Consider the following 16,916-nt stretch of genomic DNA (forward strand, 5'->3'; position numbering starts at 1 on the left):
TGGCCTCCTTCCCTTCCAGGTCAGATCATTCCAGATTTCCTGGTCTCCTTCCCTCCTGAAGAACCACTGGAGGAACGAGGACTCCCAGCCTGTGGAAGGAAAGGGTGAGGGGCCCACAAGTCTGTCTTCACACACCTGAAGAGCTGCTGCCACCGCTCTCTGCCTCATCCCTGTCATTTCTTTCTCTTTTATTTTTTTGAGACTGAGTTTCGCTCTATCGCCCAGACTGGAGTGCAGTGGTGCAATCTCAGCTCACTGCAACAACCTCCACCTCCTGGGTTCAAGCGATTCTCCTGCCTCAGCCTCCCGAGTAGCAGTAGCAGGGATTACAGGTGCACGCCACCATGCCCAGCTAATTTTTGTATTTTTAGTAGAGATGGGGGTTCACCCTGTTGGCCAGGATGGTCTCAAACACCCGACCTCAGGTGATCCACCTGCCTTGGCCTCCTAAAGTGCTGGGATTACAGGCATGAGCCATCGCGCCTGGCCTCCTGTCATTCCTTCAGTGTGATGCCCTGTGCCTGGCCTGAGAGATATGCACATGATCTTGTTTACCGTATGCCCCTCCACAGCCCTGGGAGGAGGCACACATACTGTCATCCTACATGACAGATGAGAAAACTGAGGCTCAGCCAGGCCAGGCTTACTCAAGTCCACACAGCTGGAAGCGGAGCAGACCGGAGCCAGATGTTGAGACAATGCTCTTAGCCCAGGGCAGGTCTTTGAGGACTCTCACATGTCTGCAGCTGGGACCCCCTCCAGACCACGAGCCTCTCAACCCCTCCCTGAAGAGGCAGTGGTGTGCTTTATCCACAGATGCTTGCGTCTCCAGCTTTATCCACGGATGCTTGCGTCTCCAGCTTTATCCACGGATGCTTGCGTCTCCAGCTTTATCCACGGATGCTTGCGTCTCCAGCTTTATCCACGGATGCTTGCGTCTCCAGCTTTATCCACGGATGCTTGCGTCTCCAGCTTTATCCATGGATGCTTGCGTCTCCAGCTTCCCTTCTTCTGCAGTCCGATGCTCTACCCCTGAGCTATACCCCCGCCCCTTCCCTTCTTCTGGCTTCTGGGTCTTCCAGGAACCTTGGACAACCTGTGAAGCCATTAGCACTATCAGCCTGTAATAGGGAACTACGAGCCCTGCTGACCAGGGAGTCTCTGGTGAGAAATTGCATTCTAGCACCTTCTTGACTCCTTACTAGATGAGCACCCGTGAGAATGGAAAAGGGGATTCTTTAAAGTGAGAATGAAGTTGGAGCCATTTAGAACTAGATGTTAGGCTGCTATTGTGGCTGAAGTCTGTAATCCCAGCTACTCTGAGGCTGAGGTGGGAGGATCACTTGAGCCCAGGAGCTCAAAGCTGAACTCAGGGCTGAGTTTCAAAATAGGGGTTCTAGTTTGCTTCAAGGTCTGGACACTTCTTAGATTTGGGAGCTCAGGCAAGTCATGTTTGCTCCTTGGACCTCAGTTTCTGTGTCTAAAATCCAATGGAAATCTGCTTTGCTGCCTCACAGGGAGGCTGTGAGGATCCAAAGAAAAAAGGTTTGTAAATGGGACAAGATGGGATAGGGGTGTGTACTGGCAGAGAAAAAGGAGAAGGGCTGGGTGCAGTGGCTCACGCCTGAAATCCCAGCACTTTAGGAGGCCAAGGCGGGTGGATCACCTGAGATCAGGAGTTTGACACCAGCCTGGCCAACATGGCGAAACTAAAAATGGTATCTACTAAAAATACAAAAGTTATCCGGGCCTGGCGGCGGGTGCCTGTAATCCCAGTTACTTGGGAGGCTGAGGCAGGAGAATTGGTTGAACCTGGGAGGCGGAGGTTGCAGTGAGCCGAAATCGCACCACTGCACTCCATCCTGGGCGACATGAGTGAGACTCTGTCTCAAAAAAAAAAAAAAAACCAAAGGAAAAAAAAAAACAAAGAAGGAGAAGGACATGCACCATCCAGACAACAGGAGTAAGATAGAGAGGTGGACACACCACCTGTTTCCCCCAGGCTGATGAGTACCAACATTCTAATGACAGGATCCATTTTTGGGCTCTGATCCTGTGCCAGGCTCTGGAAGAGGTGCTGGGGCCAGAGGAGCAACAGAAGTGACATAGCTCTGGGCTACATGGAGCTTAGGAGCAGGGACTGCAGTTTAGATAATCAAAGTGGTGTTCTGAAGGGGACACTTGTTTTTGGAGCAGTAACAGGGACATGAGCCAGTCTGAAGTCAGGAAGGACTTCCTGGAGGAGGTGACCCTAAGCTGAGAGCCAAGCATGAGGGAGGTCACAGGCAGTAGAGGACAAGCACTGTGAGCAGAGAGGGCCCAGCTGGGGAAGCCAGTGCAGACTGGAAAACCACGTGCTAACATTGCCAGAGGGATCACAGCCCCATGGAAAGCAAGGCACTGCTGCCTAGGGACGTTCTCTTCTTAGGGCCTCTGGAGGAGCCAATGAAATAGGGGATCTTGCCCTCCTGGAGCTCTGGGACTCAGAGAGTTTGAGTGCTTCGCCTAAGGGCATTCAGCCTACAAGATAGTCAAGGGAAGGTTCAGATTTAGGGGAAGGAGTCTTGAGAATATACCCCGAGGACAATGAGGATACAGTTGGAGGGCTGAGGTGGATTTGTTCCTCCAGGCAGTGGGGAGCCAAAGATGTTTTAGAGCACAGCAGGTTCCCAGCACCCATGAGAGCCATTTAGCTCCAGTGTCAGAAAGCTCAGGACAGTTGCTGGGGACAACGTGCCATGGTCTGCCACGCCACATGCCACGTTTAGTTATGGTCAGCAGTAAACCTCAGCCCTCTTTCAAGGCGGTAAGTGATGGTAGGGATGGCATCTGAGTGTAATTGGAGGTTGTTGCTTGTTGCTGTGGTTGCTCTGCCCTTTGGAGGAGGAAGGCCAGCTTCTTCCCGTGAGTAGCCTGTTCTGGGAGGGACTGGGGTGGAAGAGGGGAGCTAACATTTCCATTTCTGAGCACCAACCAGGAGTCAGGAAGGGGTGGGAAGGGGACCCAGGGCAGGTCAGGTCAGCAGGTCAGTGAAATCAGGTCTTTAAACACCCGTTTAACACTCTTTTGCAGCTGGAAAGCCCGACTTTTGGCTTCACTGTATTTATTTTCATGGTTACCTGTTATTTACAGTGAATGTGCCTGGTCTTCTTTTTATGGTAGTGATAGGGAATTTCATTTCAATACATATATTTGAATAATAAATCTTAGTCTATTTAAAGAAGAAAAAGTCATCAGTGAATAACACAGGGGAGCTGAAAACTGGCCTGCAATGCAGGAATGGTGGAGATCCAGGAAGCCTTACCTCCTGAGGTCTTCACGGCAGCTCTGAAGCAAGGACTGTCATCCCCATTTTACAGCTGGAAAAGCTGAGTCCCCAAGAAAGTAACTTGCCCTCTGCCCCAAGCCAAGTCTGGAAGCTAAGAACCTTCCCCCCTCACCCTCCCACCTTCACCAGTGAATGAGCTTCCAGACACTCCTCGGCAGTTCAGAAATCTCCTGATATCAGGGGTTCTAATCCAGGCCCTGGTGCCACCATTGACAAACTGTGGCTTTGTACAGTTGTCTAACTCTTTGTCCTTGGTTAGTGATATGGTTTGGCTGTGTCTCCATCCAAATCTCATTTTGAACTGTAGCTCCCATAATTCCTATGTGTCATGGGAGAGACCTGATGAGGGGTAATTGAATCACGAGGGTGGGTCTTTCCTGTGTTGTTCTAGTGATACTGAATAAGTCTCATAAGATCAGATGGTTTTATAAAGGGGAGTTCCCCTGCACATGCTCTCTTGCCTGCCACCATGTAAGATGTGACTGCTCCTCATTCGCCCTCCACCATGATTGTGAGGCCTCCCCAGCCATGTGGAGCGTGAGTCAATTAAACCTTTTTCCTTTATAAATTACCCATTCTCGGGTATGTCTTTATTAGCAGCGTGAGAACAGACTAATACAGTTACTCATCTTAAGATGGGAATAATATGTGTACCTCAGAGGACTGTTAAAAGGATTTAATGATATGATATCTGTTATTTTCTCCAATTTAAAATGAGACAATAGAATCCCAGAACCCTGAAGCCACTTGGCCAAGGTCACAGAGGTGGAAAAAGGAGGAGCTGGACGCCAGTGTAGGTAGGTCCAAAAGGCTTCCACGCGGCTGATTTAATGATCCCATGGTACTGCCTCCCTTCTACAGAAAGCTGCCTCATGCCCAGGTTGGGAGCTTGAGAATGTCTCCAAAGCCCAGTGGATAGAAAAGAGACCTGAACAGTGTGCCCATGGGGAAGGGGCTCGGTTTTCTTCAGGCCAGAGCCTGTGGACTCTGCCAAGGTCCCCAGGAGCAGCAAGTCGGGAGTGTGGGAGGGCACTTTCCTGTGGGAAAATGTAGGGCGCTTCCACTTATAGCCTGATAATTGGGCCCAGCGAGGTCTGAGCTCAGATGATGTCATTCATTCTCTGTGGTCTTTGGGGCTGAGGAAGCCTCTAGGGAAAGAAGGGGTGGGGGAGGAAGGGTTGGAGAACAGAGAACCTGGAAAGAATGACAGATAAAAACAGGAATCAGAGTTTTGGGCATGCATGGACTGTGGCCAAGGGAGCTTTAGAGCCGTTGTAGCAGGACAGCCCATGGCAGGAAGTGCTCATAGAATCAAGGGCAGATGGCCGGAGCCCAGTGCTGGCAGGCAGTGCTGGGGGTGAAGGAATGAAAGAGCCGGGATGCGTGAGTGAATGGTTGGCTTTAGTGCAATGCTGAGCAGATCAGTTCCTGGAAGGCAGCTGAGTCCGGGGAAGGGGTGCACAGACAACATTGGACAGAGTTTAAACCCCGGTAGAAATGTATCAGCTGTGTCACTTGGGCTAATATCTGACCTCTCTGAGCCTCCATGGAGCAGATGCTGTCAATTTCCAACCCGATACCCATTTCCCAAGTCATCCTTGCCTACAGAACCCTGATTCTACTCAGGGTGGTGATGCAGACAGCCTGGGGCCCTCTGTATTCCCAGCCTCCTTTATAGCCAGGGGTGGCTTGGGTGAGAGCCTCAGTCTCTTCATCTTGGAATGAAAATGATTATACCCCTTCTGCAGGGATTTGGGGAGGATTTAGGCTGGTACGTGCTGGGTGAGCATTGCTGAGAGCATGGCCAACTTCTGCTGCTGATGGTGGGTCTGAATTTGTGTCTCCAGCATTCGCGTCTCCAAGTGCTACTGACCCCTCTACCTCGGTTGTTCCCATTGCCTGAAATTCAACAAAGCAATCTAAACCCTGCCCAGCCATCCCAGCATCCCCATGTTCACCCCCAGCCCCCTGTCACCCCCCTCATCTCTGGAGCCAGTGGTGTGGACTTGAATCTCAGCCCACCACTTCTAGCTTTGCGTGGCTTTGCAATGACCCGACAGGGATGCTAATAGCACCTACCTCCTATGAGAGCAGGGGTGAAAATCAGCAATTCCTGTGAGGCCTATTCAGTGTCGTGCCTAGCACATAGTGAGTGCTTGTGCAAGCTGTGTTACTGTGGAGAGGAAGGCCGACTCCTCGGCCTGGCCCACCACGCCGGAGTGACCGGGTCCCTCAGCCCTCTCTAGCCGCAGCACTTGGCCCCCCATCACGCCAGTTCCCTGCCTCTCTCACACCTCCAAGGCTTAGTGCTTGCTGGTCTGCCTGGAATGTTCCTCTATTCTTTTGCCCTTTCTTCTTTCTTCACTTGGCTAATTCTGCTTTATTTATTTATTTATTGAGACAGAGGCTCGCTCCATCACCCAGGCTGGAGTGCAGTGGTGCAGTCTTGGCTCACTGCAACCTCTGCCTCCCAGGTTCAAGCGATTCTCCTGCCTCAGCCTCCCGGGTAGCTGGGATTACAGGCATGCGCCACCATGCCTGGCTAATTTTTTGTATTTTTTTTAGTAGAGACGGGTTTCACTGTATTAGCCAGGATGGTCTCGATCTGATCTCGTGATCCGCCCGCCTTGGCTTCCCAAAGTGCTGGGATTACAGGCATGAGCCACTGTGCCCCTGCCTGCTTTATTTATTTTTAAAATAATTTAAAACAAGTCATTTTTGTACCCTTCTCTGAGAAGCCGTCCCTCGCTCACTTCTTACTGGCTGGGGTTCCACAGGCTTCTGCGTGCTGTCCAGTCAGAGGCATTCTCTCAGTGTTGCCACAGACTGTGGTCTGAGTTTCTGCGTTTCTGTCCCTCTCAGCCCCTCCTCTGAGCTCTTCAGGGGCTCATACCCTGACCTCATCACCTCTGTCCCTCCAGGGCCTGGCTCAGGGCACCCTGTGTAACTGCTCTCATGCCTCCTCAAACACAGAAACACCCCACGGTAGCGCAGTGAACAATATGGCAGCTAGCACTCAATTGCATTGACTGCATCTGTTTCCATGCTGTGCCCAACCCTCTTCTCACCACTTTCCTGTGGGGTATGACTGCTGTGATGGTTTTGTCACCTTGGTTAGTCTACTGCGCCCAGTGGTTTGGTCCACTGCTAGTCTAGATATTGCTGTGAAGCCAGGAGTTTGAGACTATAGTGAGCTATCATCATGCCACTGGACTCCAGGCTGGGTGACAGAGTGAGACCTGATTAGCATCTATAATCAGTTGACTTTAAGTAAAAAATATTACCCTTGATAATGTGAGTAGGCCTCACCTAGTCAGGTGAAGGCCTTAAGAGCAAACACCAAGGTTTCCCGAAGAAGGAACAATTTTCCCTCAACTGTAGTAAGGAAATCCTCTCTGAGTTTCCAGCCTGCTGGGCCACCCTACGGATTTTGGACTTACCAGCCCCCACAACCACATGAGCCAATTCCTTAAAATAAGTCTACATTTCTATCCATTACCTCCTATCAGCTCTATTTCTCTGGAAAACCCTGACGAATACAACAGTCATTCCCATTTTACAGATGGTGAAGCTGAGGCTCAGAGAAATTTGGTCTCATGGCCAGTGTCATATGCCACTCAGTGGCAGGGCCTGGACTGGAACCCAGGCAGCCTCTCTAGGACCAGCATTACAGATCACCTAGCTGATGCTGGGATCCAGGTCTTTTCAGCTTCTTCAGGTATTTCCAGGTGCCCAGAGCCAGCTTTCTTAGCCAGGGAAGCTGATGAGTGAAGCAGCCCCTTTTCAAAATGTACTCTTGTGTGCACTGTGTTTTCCAGAGAGACTTGGGGAAGCTTCTCTAGGTGTGAAAAGAAAAGAGGAGGGGAGGGCTGGGCGCCGTGGCTCATGCTTATAATTCCAGCACTTCAGGAGGCCAACGTAGGAGGATCTCTTGAGCCCAGAAGTTCAAGACCAGCCTGGGAGACAGCAAAACTTTGTCTCCACAAAAAAAGATTTTAAAAAAGTAGCTGGGTGTGGTGGCATATGCCTATTATAGTCCTGGCTACTGGGGAAACTGAGGCGGGAGGATCACTTGAAGCCAGGAGTTCAAGGTTATAGTGAGCTATGATCATGCCACTGCACTCCAGCCTGGGTGACAGAATGAGACCCTGTTTCTACAGAGACACAGAGAGAGAGAGAGACAGAGAGAGAGAGAGAGAGAGAGAGAAGGGCAGGACCTGGGGACCTGGGAGTAAGTCCTTCTTTTTACTTCCTGTCTGTGTGACCTTGAGCAAGTAGCTTTGCCTCTCTGAGCTTTGGTTCCTACAGCCTAAAATTACCTCCAGACAGTGGGGCAAAGTCAAGAGATTCTCTATGTATTGATATAGAAAGACCTTTAAGATAAAATGTAGAGGGAAAGTGCAAAGTGTAGGACAGTGTTTCCCTTTTGTATAAGTAAAGGGGGAACTTTTTTTTTTTGAGGCAGGGTCTTGCTCTGTTGCCCAGGCTGGAGTGCAGTGGCATGATCATAGGTCACTGTAGCCTCGACCTCTTGGGCTCAAGCAATCCTCTCACCTCAGACCCCTAAACAGTTGGGATTACAGGTGTGCACCACCATGCCTGGCTGATTTTTAAATTTTTTGTAGCAACAAGGTCTCACTGTGTCACCCAGGCTGGCCTCAAACTCCTGGGCTCAAGCGATCCTCCTGCCTCTGCCTCCCAAAGTGCTGGGATTATAGATGTCAGCAACCACGCCCAGCCAGAAAAGGGGGATTTAAGAATATGTTCTGGTATTTACATAAACAGACTCTCGGGGAATACACTAGAAACTAATAAAAATGATTCTTTAAACGAGGAGAATAGGAGCAGGATGAGACTTCTCACTGTGTTCCTTTAATTTTTGAAACGTTATTAAATTATGTAGTAGAAAATAAATATTAATAGTTTTAAAAATGATGATAATGAGAGTACCTCCTTCAAATTGTTGTATAGTTAAGCTTAAATGTAAAAATAAATGTAAAATGCAAAGCACATAGTAGGTGCTTAAAAATGGGAGCTGGTCATCTTGCCACAGTGACCCTCCAGGGTGTTTCTCGAGGAAAGGGCAAGATGATCATAATGATGCTTTGATTTCCCGCTTGAACCCAATACATGCTTTCTGCTGAGCTGGGTCCTCTGGGTGACTGAGGAAATAGTCCCCACAGGCCCTTGCTTTCAAGGCTTTAATGATCCACCTGGGGATCCCGGACTAACAGTCATGGGCTGTGCAGTGCTCACCATTCATTCATCAAAGATTTGAAAGGTAAGAAGGGTCGCTAATGGGCAAGGGGAGGGGCTTTTTCGGATGGGAACAAATATTCGTTGAGCTGTACTGGGTGTTCCTACATACACTCCTCCTGTAATCCTCATATCAACTCTGGGAGGAGCAGTGATTGTGTCCATTTCACAGAGAAGGAAACTGAGGCCCAGAAACTTGAGCTAGGGTGTGTAAGAACACACAGCTAGGAATTGGCAGAGTCAGGCTCTGAGGCCATGGCTGTCCAGTTGCAGGTCTCCTTGTCTTCCCACTACACTACAATGCCTGGCCAGGCTCTAGAAGGATCTGGCGGGTTAAGTGAAGCGTGGGTAGGTGGTGGGATGGGAGCGTGGTGCAGCAGCTGAGAGTGATCCCAGGATCCCCTCTGAGGACCATTTAAACTTGCCAACAACCCTACTAGACAAGCAGAAGACATAGTGCTATCTTCCCCATTCCCTCACGGATTAATTAATTAATTCATTCATTCATTCATTTCTCCATATAGCCAGTCATTAACATTTTAGTGAGAACTAGTCCTTCCCAGGCCTTATGCTGAGAACTACGGACATCAAAATGAGTGGGTCACAGTGTCTGCACCCAAAGAGCTTACAGTCTAGCAAGAGAGAAAGACCCACAAACTGAGGTAGACAACTGAATGCTGGGATTGAAGATGAACATAGAGCCTAGAGCCCAGAGGAGGTGACATTGCAGGGCAGGGGAGTCTCGGAACATGTATGGGCATTTTCCACGTGTGGAGTGGGGCTGAAAGGGACAGCACGTGGTAAGGACCAAGGGGAAGAAAGCACAGTGGGTTTGGATAACAGCTAGGGCTTGGAGTGATTGATGGGGTGCACATGCAGAGGGAAGAGGTTATGGATGGAGAGATGGTTTGGGAAGAGTCAGACCATGAGGCATTGTGACAGAGACTGGACACCATCTTGTAAGCCACAGAATTAAGCAGGGCAGCGGAGTAGTCAGGCCGATCTGGACTTTGAAGCGACCACCCTGGGGGACCTGGGAGGAAGGGTGGGGACTGGAGAAAGAGGCCCTTTGTTCATCCTAGGGCACTCTCCAGTGCCTTGGGGTCTTCCAGGGTCTTGTTTGTGCCACTCCCCCCAACTTATTTTGTGTGTGTGTGTGTGTGTGTGAGACAGAGTCTTGCACTGTCGGCCAGGCTGGAGTGCAGTGGCGTGATCTTGGCTCACTGCAACCTCTGCTTCCCGGGTTCAAGCGATTCTCCTGCCTCAGCCTCTTGAATAACTGGAATTACAGGTGCCCACCATCACACCCAGCTAATTTTTTTGTATTTTTAGTAGAGACGGGGTATCTCCATGTTGGCCAGGATGGTCTTGAACTCCTGACCTCATGATTCGCCCGCCTCGACCTCCTAAAGTGCTGGGATTACAGGCATGAGCCATCGTGCCCGGCCACTCCCCTACTTTTGTGTTGAAAAATTTTGAGATAATTGCAGATTCACAGTCATAAGAAATGACTCAGAGAGACTGCTTGTGCTTTGTGCCTATTTCGCCCCAATGGTCACATTTTGTAAAATGATTCCTTTGCCGCTTTTGAGGAGGAGGTGGTGGGGGGGGGTGGGCACCAGTATGTTGAAGGAGAAATGCCCAGAGAGCTCTGGTGAGAGTTGCCTCCTTCCCCATCACCCTCCCTCTCTCTGTGAGCCAAGACTGTTTCATAGGTGTATCATGGAACAAGTTTGGGAAGCCTGGTATACGCAACTCACAAGTTCATCCTATCAACCCCCTACCAATCCCTTTGCCATCTTCTCACAGGAGCCCAGGCCACTTCCCTAGGGCACCACCCTTGACATGGCCCCATCCAACACACAGTGGATGTAGCTGAGAAGATCAACTGACCAACAGAGGTCAAGTTCCCCTTACACCATCTGTCTGGTTGTGGCGCTGGCTGGTAGGTGCCTGTTCAGCCGAGAACTACATTTCCCAGTACTCCTTGCTTCCCACATGACTAGTTTTCAGCAATGCAGTGTGAGCAGAGGGATCCAGGTGCTGTCAGGATGAGGGGTTAAGTAGTGGCTATGCCATCTTCTCTTTCTTCTCCCAGTTGGCTGTTTGGATGACACCAGGACAACCTTGGGGCCACAGGATGGTAGAGGATCCTCAAGATAGAAGCGGCCTGTGTCTCAGGGCAACCGTTGGAGGAAAACCACCCATGAGAGCCACAAGCCAGGAACACAGCATTAGACTTTGTATGAGGGAGAAATAAACATACGTAAAGGCTTCAAATATACAAAAGAAGCAGAGAGCACACTATAATAACTCATCCTAGCCATCTATCATTCCGTTTCCAGAAATTATCAACATTTTTCCAAGTCTTCTTTAATACACCACTCAACTACCCCCACCACCCCCCGCACTCTTTTTTCTGTTTTGTTTTGTTTTTTGACAGAGTCTCTTTCTGTCACCAGGCTGGAGTGCAGTGGTGCCATCTCGGCTCACTGCAACCTCCGCCTCCCGGGTTCAAGCGATTCTCCTGTCTCAGCCTCCCGAGTAGCTGGGATTACAGGCACGCACCACCACGCCCAGCTAATTTTTGTAGTTTTAGTAGAGACAGGGTTTCACCATGTTGGCCAGGATGGTCTCGATCTCTTGACCTTATGATCCTCCCACCTTGGCCTCCCAAAGTGCTGGGATTACAGGCGTGAGCCACCGCGCCTGGCCTCTGACCCCATTTTAAATTGTTTGCTGGAGTATTGTAAAGTAATTACCAGACATCATGCACAAGGGCAAACAAAATCAAAAGGTAAACACCCTTTATCATGCTAAGCCACCGAGATGAGGGGCCGTTCACCACAGCAGTTAGACAGCCCTGACTGATGTGGTGGACTCTCTGTACCCAGCTGTGGAATTGGACATAACGGGCCTGTTCTCCTGGGCTGTGCAGTGTGCAAAGGAATGCGTCTGGGCCCAAAGCAGCAAGGCTGCCGAGCCTTCCAGCCCTCTGAGAAGGAGTTCTCTTTGTTCTTCTGGCCCAGCTGCACCCAGCCCCTACCGCCCACTTCTTCCTCCTTCCAGGCTGGGGCTGCCCAGAGGAGAAGCAGACGCAAGGTGGGATGAGAAACAGAGTGTTTTGCAGACCAAGTCTGGCTTGGGCTGGGCTGGGTGTGGCGGGGTGAGGCCGTGCTAGAACACAGAGAGCAGGCAGAAGGCATGGATATTGGAAAGTCAGGGCCTAGAGCAGGGGCTGGAGCCAGGGGAGCAAAACCTTTTTTTGCCTTTTGGCTTGGCTTGTGTTCATGACCCTGAAGCTCAGAAGCTGGATGGAGCTTTGTGGTCAGAACCTCCAGAAAGCTTGAGTCCATTGAAGAAGTCATTACTGAGCACGAGTAGGGCAGCTCTGTGCTGTGGGCTGAATGCTGGCTTAGCTACTCTTCCCAGCCTTGTGACCTCAGATAGGCCCCCTCAACCCTCTGAGCCACAGGCTCCCTGTATTGAAAGTGAGGATGAGAATATCAATTTTACCTGGTCCTGGGGAAATTAGACTTGATGTACAGAGAAAGCCTGACACGCAGTAGGTTCTCAATGACTCATAGCCATTGCTATTGATCTCTGTTAACAACATGACACAAGTATAGGAGTGCAAATTTGCATCCATCCACAGAATGGACCAGGGCCCCAGGATGCTGGGCCTCACCCTCTTGGGAGCTGTTTTCAGAGGAGGAGAAACAGAAAATGCAGGGAGCCAAAGGGCTTGCCCTGGGAGCGGCCAGGTCTAGTTTTGTATGTCAGAGGAGCAAGGGTGGGTGGAATCCTGCAGTTCAGGGACTCTTTCCTGGAAGGGGCTGGATTGGCAACAAAAGACTCCCTCCCTTGGAAAGTAGCCTCACAGCTGTCAGGAAAAAACAGCTGTGTGGCTTCCTTTCAAAGAAGTGAGACCTCAGTCCTATGGGGAAACAGAGCAAGACATGATGGAAAACAGGAACTCCCAGGCCGGTTCTCTAGCAGGGGATGGATGTGGTTCAAAGCCCAGCTCTGCTGCTTGCTGGCTGTGTGACCTTGGGCAAGTTACTTCACCTCTCTGAGCCTTAGTAACATCATGTTTTAAATGGGATAATGATGCTCATCTCACAAGGCTATTGGGAGAAGAGGAAAAGATATTAAATCGAAAATGCCTTGCTCAGTGCCTGGTACCCTGGAAGCACTTAATAAATCATCATTGTAAATCACTCACCCCTAGGGCTTAAAATGAACCCGTTTCTTCTCTTAAGAGACTTTAAATATGGGCGACTCCATCGTCTCTTGTTTACCCTGCATCGACTCCCTAGATGGGCTTGTCCTCTTCCACAGCATTAAACACTGTTCCATGACATCGGCTCTGGAGTCGGCATTTGAAACCAGACACCCTTGCCATTGCTGGTCACAGATTCTTGATATTACCCTAAATGGCACCCCCACCCCCAGCCCTTCCCATTTTGGGAAAGGACCTCCATTCAGCTGTAAGATCTTTTTTGTGTGTGTGTGAGTACATAGTAGATATATATATGTTGATGGGGTACAGGAGATGTTTTGATACAGGCATGCGATGTGAAATAACCACGTCATGGGGAATGGGGTATCCATCCCCTCAAGCATTTATCCTTTGAGTTACAATTCAATTACACTCTAACTTATTCTAAAATGTACAATTAAGTTACTACGGCTATAGTCACTCTATTGTGCTATCAAATAGTAGGTCTTATTCACCCTTTCTATTTTTGTTGCACCCGGTTAAAAGATCTTGATTATTGTCTTTCCCCCAAGCCCCCAAGTCCAACCCACCAGGAGGTCCTGATGGCTCCATCATCAGCATGTATCTCCCATCTCACCCATCCCCACCTCCACTGCCGCCGCAACGGTCCACCCCCACCCCCAATGCTCCTGGCTCTCTGCTGCTCAGACCCCTCCCCACGCTCCCTGCTCTCACTCTCGCCCCTTCTACAGTCAGCTCTCCACACAGAAGCCTCACCTTTTTCTTTTAATTTTTAACAGAAATCCTAGACTTACAGAAAAATGGCAATAGTACAAAGCCTTCCCACACAGCCTTCCCTCTACTCCCTGCATTTGCTTGTCTCTTTCTATCTACAGATGTATTTTTTCTAGAACATTAGAGTCAGTTGCAAACATGATGCCCCTTTACCCCTAAATACTCTAGTGGGACATTTCGACACACAAAGACACTCACATGACTGCAGCACGGTGATCAAAAGCAGCGCTTGTGACACGGTCTAGGTAGCAGACCTGCAGCCCTGTTCACTGCTGCCTGTCTCCCAGAAGGAGCGTCTGGCTCACACATCACCTTCTGTCCTCCTGCCTCTTCAGTCTCCTTTACCTGGGAGCAGTACCTTCATCTGTCTTCACCTGTCACAACCTTGGCATTTTGAATACAGTCCAATGATTTTACAGCACTTCCCTCCATCTCGGCTTGTCTAATATTTCCTCACACGGTGAGCTTTTAAAAGGTATGGGGGTCAGGCACGGCAGCTCACGCCTGTAATCCCAGGACTTTGGGAAGCCGAGGCAGGTGGATCACTTGAGGTCAGCAGTTCGACACCAGCTTGGCTAACATGGTGAAACCCTGTCTCTACTAAAAATAGAAAAAATTACCAGGCATGGTGGCACGTGCGTGTAATCCCAGCGACTCAGGAGGCTGAGGCAGGAGAATCGCTTGAGCTCAGGAGGTGGAGGTTGCAGTGAATCGAGATCGTGCCACTGCACTCTAGCCTGGGTGACAGAGCGAGACTTCATCCAAAAAAAAAAAAAGTAAAATAAATAAATAAATAAGGTATAGGAGATCTCCTCACTTGTCAGCTCTCAACCCTGCAATGGCTGGCTACCAAATCCTGAGAAAATGCCAACTCCCCACCAGGCCCTTCACCAGGAGGGCTTTGCCCAACTCTCTCCCTCTGCTCTCTCGACACCAACAATCTGACCTCTGCCTCAGTGCCCTGGCCCTGCCACTCCTCTCTGGGGACTGATGGGAGGTTTGAGGGGCTCCCTGTCTTCTCACTTTTCACTGACCATTGGCTCATATGAGTGCCCCCTCTCTCTAAGAAAGTATCTTAACCTGTCCCATGTGATATTGTAGAATTTGTCTTGAGCCCTGGTGTGTGACAAGGAAGATCCAGAAGGGACTCCTTTGTATGACACAGGTAGACCTGGCGTGTCATGCCCTGGTGTTACTTTTTAGCTGTGTGGCCTTGGACAAGTTACTTAACATCTCTGATCCTCTATTTCCTCATCTGGAAAGAGGGAATAGGAAGAAGATTTGAGATAGTGAACGTAAAAGTACCTGACACATAACAGGTTTGTCTTCTCTCCAGATGGTGAAATTAGACCCATTACATCTTCTGGAGAAACTGGAAGGGGCTTGCAGTAGGTTGAATGGTGGCCGCCCCAGAAGATATGTCCTTGGAACCTGCTAATGAAACCTTACTTGAAAAAGGCATCTTTGGGCCGGGCACAGTGGCTCACACCTGTAATCCCAGCACTTTGCGAGGCCAAGGCCAGTGGATCACCTGAAGTCAGGAGTTCAAGACCAGCCTGGCCAACATGGCGAAATCCCATCTCTACTAAAAATACAAAAAGTATCTGGGTGTGGTGGTGGGTGCCTGTAACCCCATCTACTCGGGAGCCTGAGGAAGGAGAATAACTTGAACCTGGGAGGCAGAGGTTGCAGTGAGCCGAGGTCGCGCCACTGCACCCCAGCCTGGGCGACAGAGCGAGACTCCGTCTCAAAAAAAAAAAAAAAAAAAAAAAAAAAAAAAAAAAAAAAAAAAAGAGAGAGAGAGAAAGGCATCTTTGTCAATGTATTTAAGTTAAGGATCTTGAGATGAGATTATCCTGGATTGTCCAGTTAACCCTGAATCCAGTGACAAGTGTCTTTAAAAGAGATACACAGAGGAGAAGACAGACACAAAGAGAGAAGGTGATGTGAAGATGGGGGCAGAGATTGGAGGGACGCAGCTACAAGCCAAGAAAACCAAGGATTGCTGGCAGCCACCAGAGGCTGGGAGAGAGGCCTGGGTTGAGACGGCCTCAGAGCCTCCAGAGGGAGCCTGGTCCTGCTGACACCTCAGTTTTGGAGTTCTGACCTCCAGAACTATGAGAAAATAAATTTCTGTTGTTTCAAGCCACCGAGTTTGTGGTAACTTTTCATGGCAGACCTAGGAAACTAATACAGGAATGAACTTGGGGAAAACAACAGTGGGAAGGTCCTTGCCCAGTGGAGCCCTTCCTGGATGGCACTGTCCACACCCAGGGCTTCATTCCTTCTCCAAAGAGGCAGGATTGGAGGGGGCCCTGAGGACTGAGAGTGGGAAATGGCCCAGTCTGAAGTCTTCTGAGCCAGAGGTCTCCCAACGCCCCTTCCTTCTCTCCCTGGAGTCTCCCTTTGAAAGGGCAAACATGAGAGAGAGTGGCTCAGTCCCTGGAGCATCACAGCTGCTTGGATCCAGGCGGAGTGGAGTTGGGGAGATGGCTGTTTGCAGAGGTTGTTTGGGGATGCTGACTGCCAGCATCCAGGGGCCTTGGGGATCTTGGGGGCCAGTGGGATGTTATAGTTCCCCTGCCATGGTGGTGGGAAGAGGGGGCCATTAATCTGTGGAAACAGGGTGGTCCTCCTGTAGCTCATTGCTTAGACAACATGGGATGAGATTCTGGGGTCCTTTTGAGACAGTTCTGCTCATGATACCCATCTGTCTCCAAATCTTCACCGTTTCCACCACATTACACACTCTCCCAGAGAACTCTTTCGCAGAGAACTCGGCATCATTAGCTCGAATCTAACACTTAGCTGCATGGCTTGGGCCTGGGATCAATCATTTCCTTGGCAGCTCCAAGAAGCAGATGCAGGCAGCATGGAGCCCATGGCCACAGGTCCTTGGTGTAATCTGTTGCCCAGGCTTAGGTTTACTGTCATACTGAGATGACCCCAGAGTCTCTGCAGTCCTCTAAAGAAAGGCTCCAAAGCTCTGTGTGAGTAGATCATAGGCGAGGTAGGGCTTGAGACCCCACTTCCTTTGCAAGGTTCACTACCTGAGCTTTTTTCCCCCTGAGAAAAGCCACTCCCCTCTTGGTACAAGTCAGCTGCGTCAGAAAGCGGGCTATGGCACCCACGCCAGCCTCAGATTCTCCCCACCGCACCCCCACCTCTATCAGGGCCAGCTCAGGGGCTGCTGCTGAATTCCCCTGCAAGGCTCACTCAGCGGTCAGGGAGAGGAAAGCTGCTCTGGGAATAGCAAACTCCAGGGAGCCAGGATCACAGGCACGTGGGGGAGGCAGCGGAGGTGGCTGTTTCACA

The 16,916-nt window shown here is 50.1% G+C and overlaps 1 long non-coding RNA gene and 1 other non-coding gene across 3 annotated transcripts in view; both read left to right on the forward strand.

The window, feature by feature from the left end:
- The window catches only part of LOC105377727 (uncharacterized), a 57,398-nt gene that overhangs the window by 13,524 nt on the left and 26,958 nt on the right, over positions 1-16,916 (forward strand). The gene's annotated exons all lie outside the window — the stretch shown is intronic.
- On the forward strand, positions 470-15,136 carry LOC107984004 (uncharacterized). The gene is made up of 3 exons (XR_941226.2): positions 470-1,164; positions 4,054-4,125; positions 14,938-15,136. It is a non-coding gene; the product is annotated as an uncharacterized LOC107984004 (transcript).

The sequence above is a fragment of the Homo sapiens genome, chromosome 5 (genome assembly GCF_000001405.40).
Source record: "Homo sapiens chromosome 5, GRCh38.p14 Primary Assembly".
In the NCBI taxonomy this organism is placed as follows: domain Eukaryota; kingdom Metazoa; phylum Chordata; class Mammalia; order Primates; family Hominidae; genus Homo; species Homo sapiens.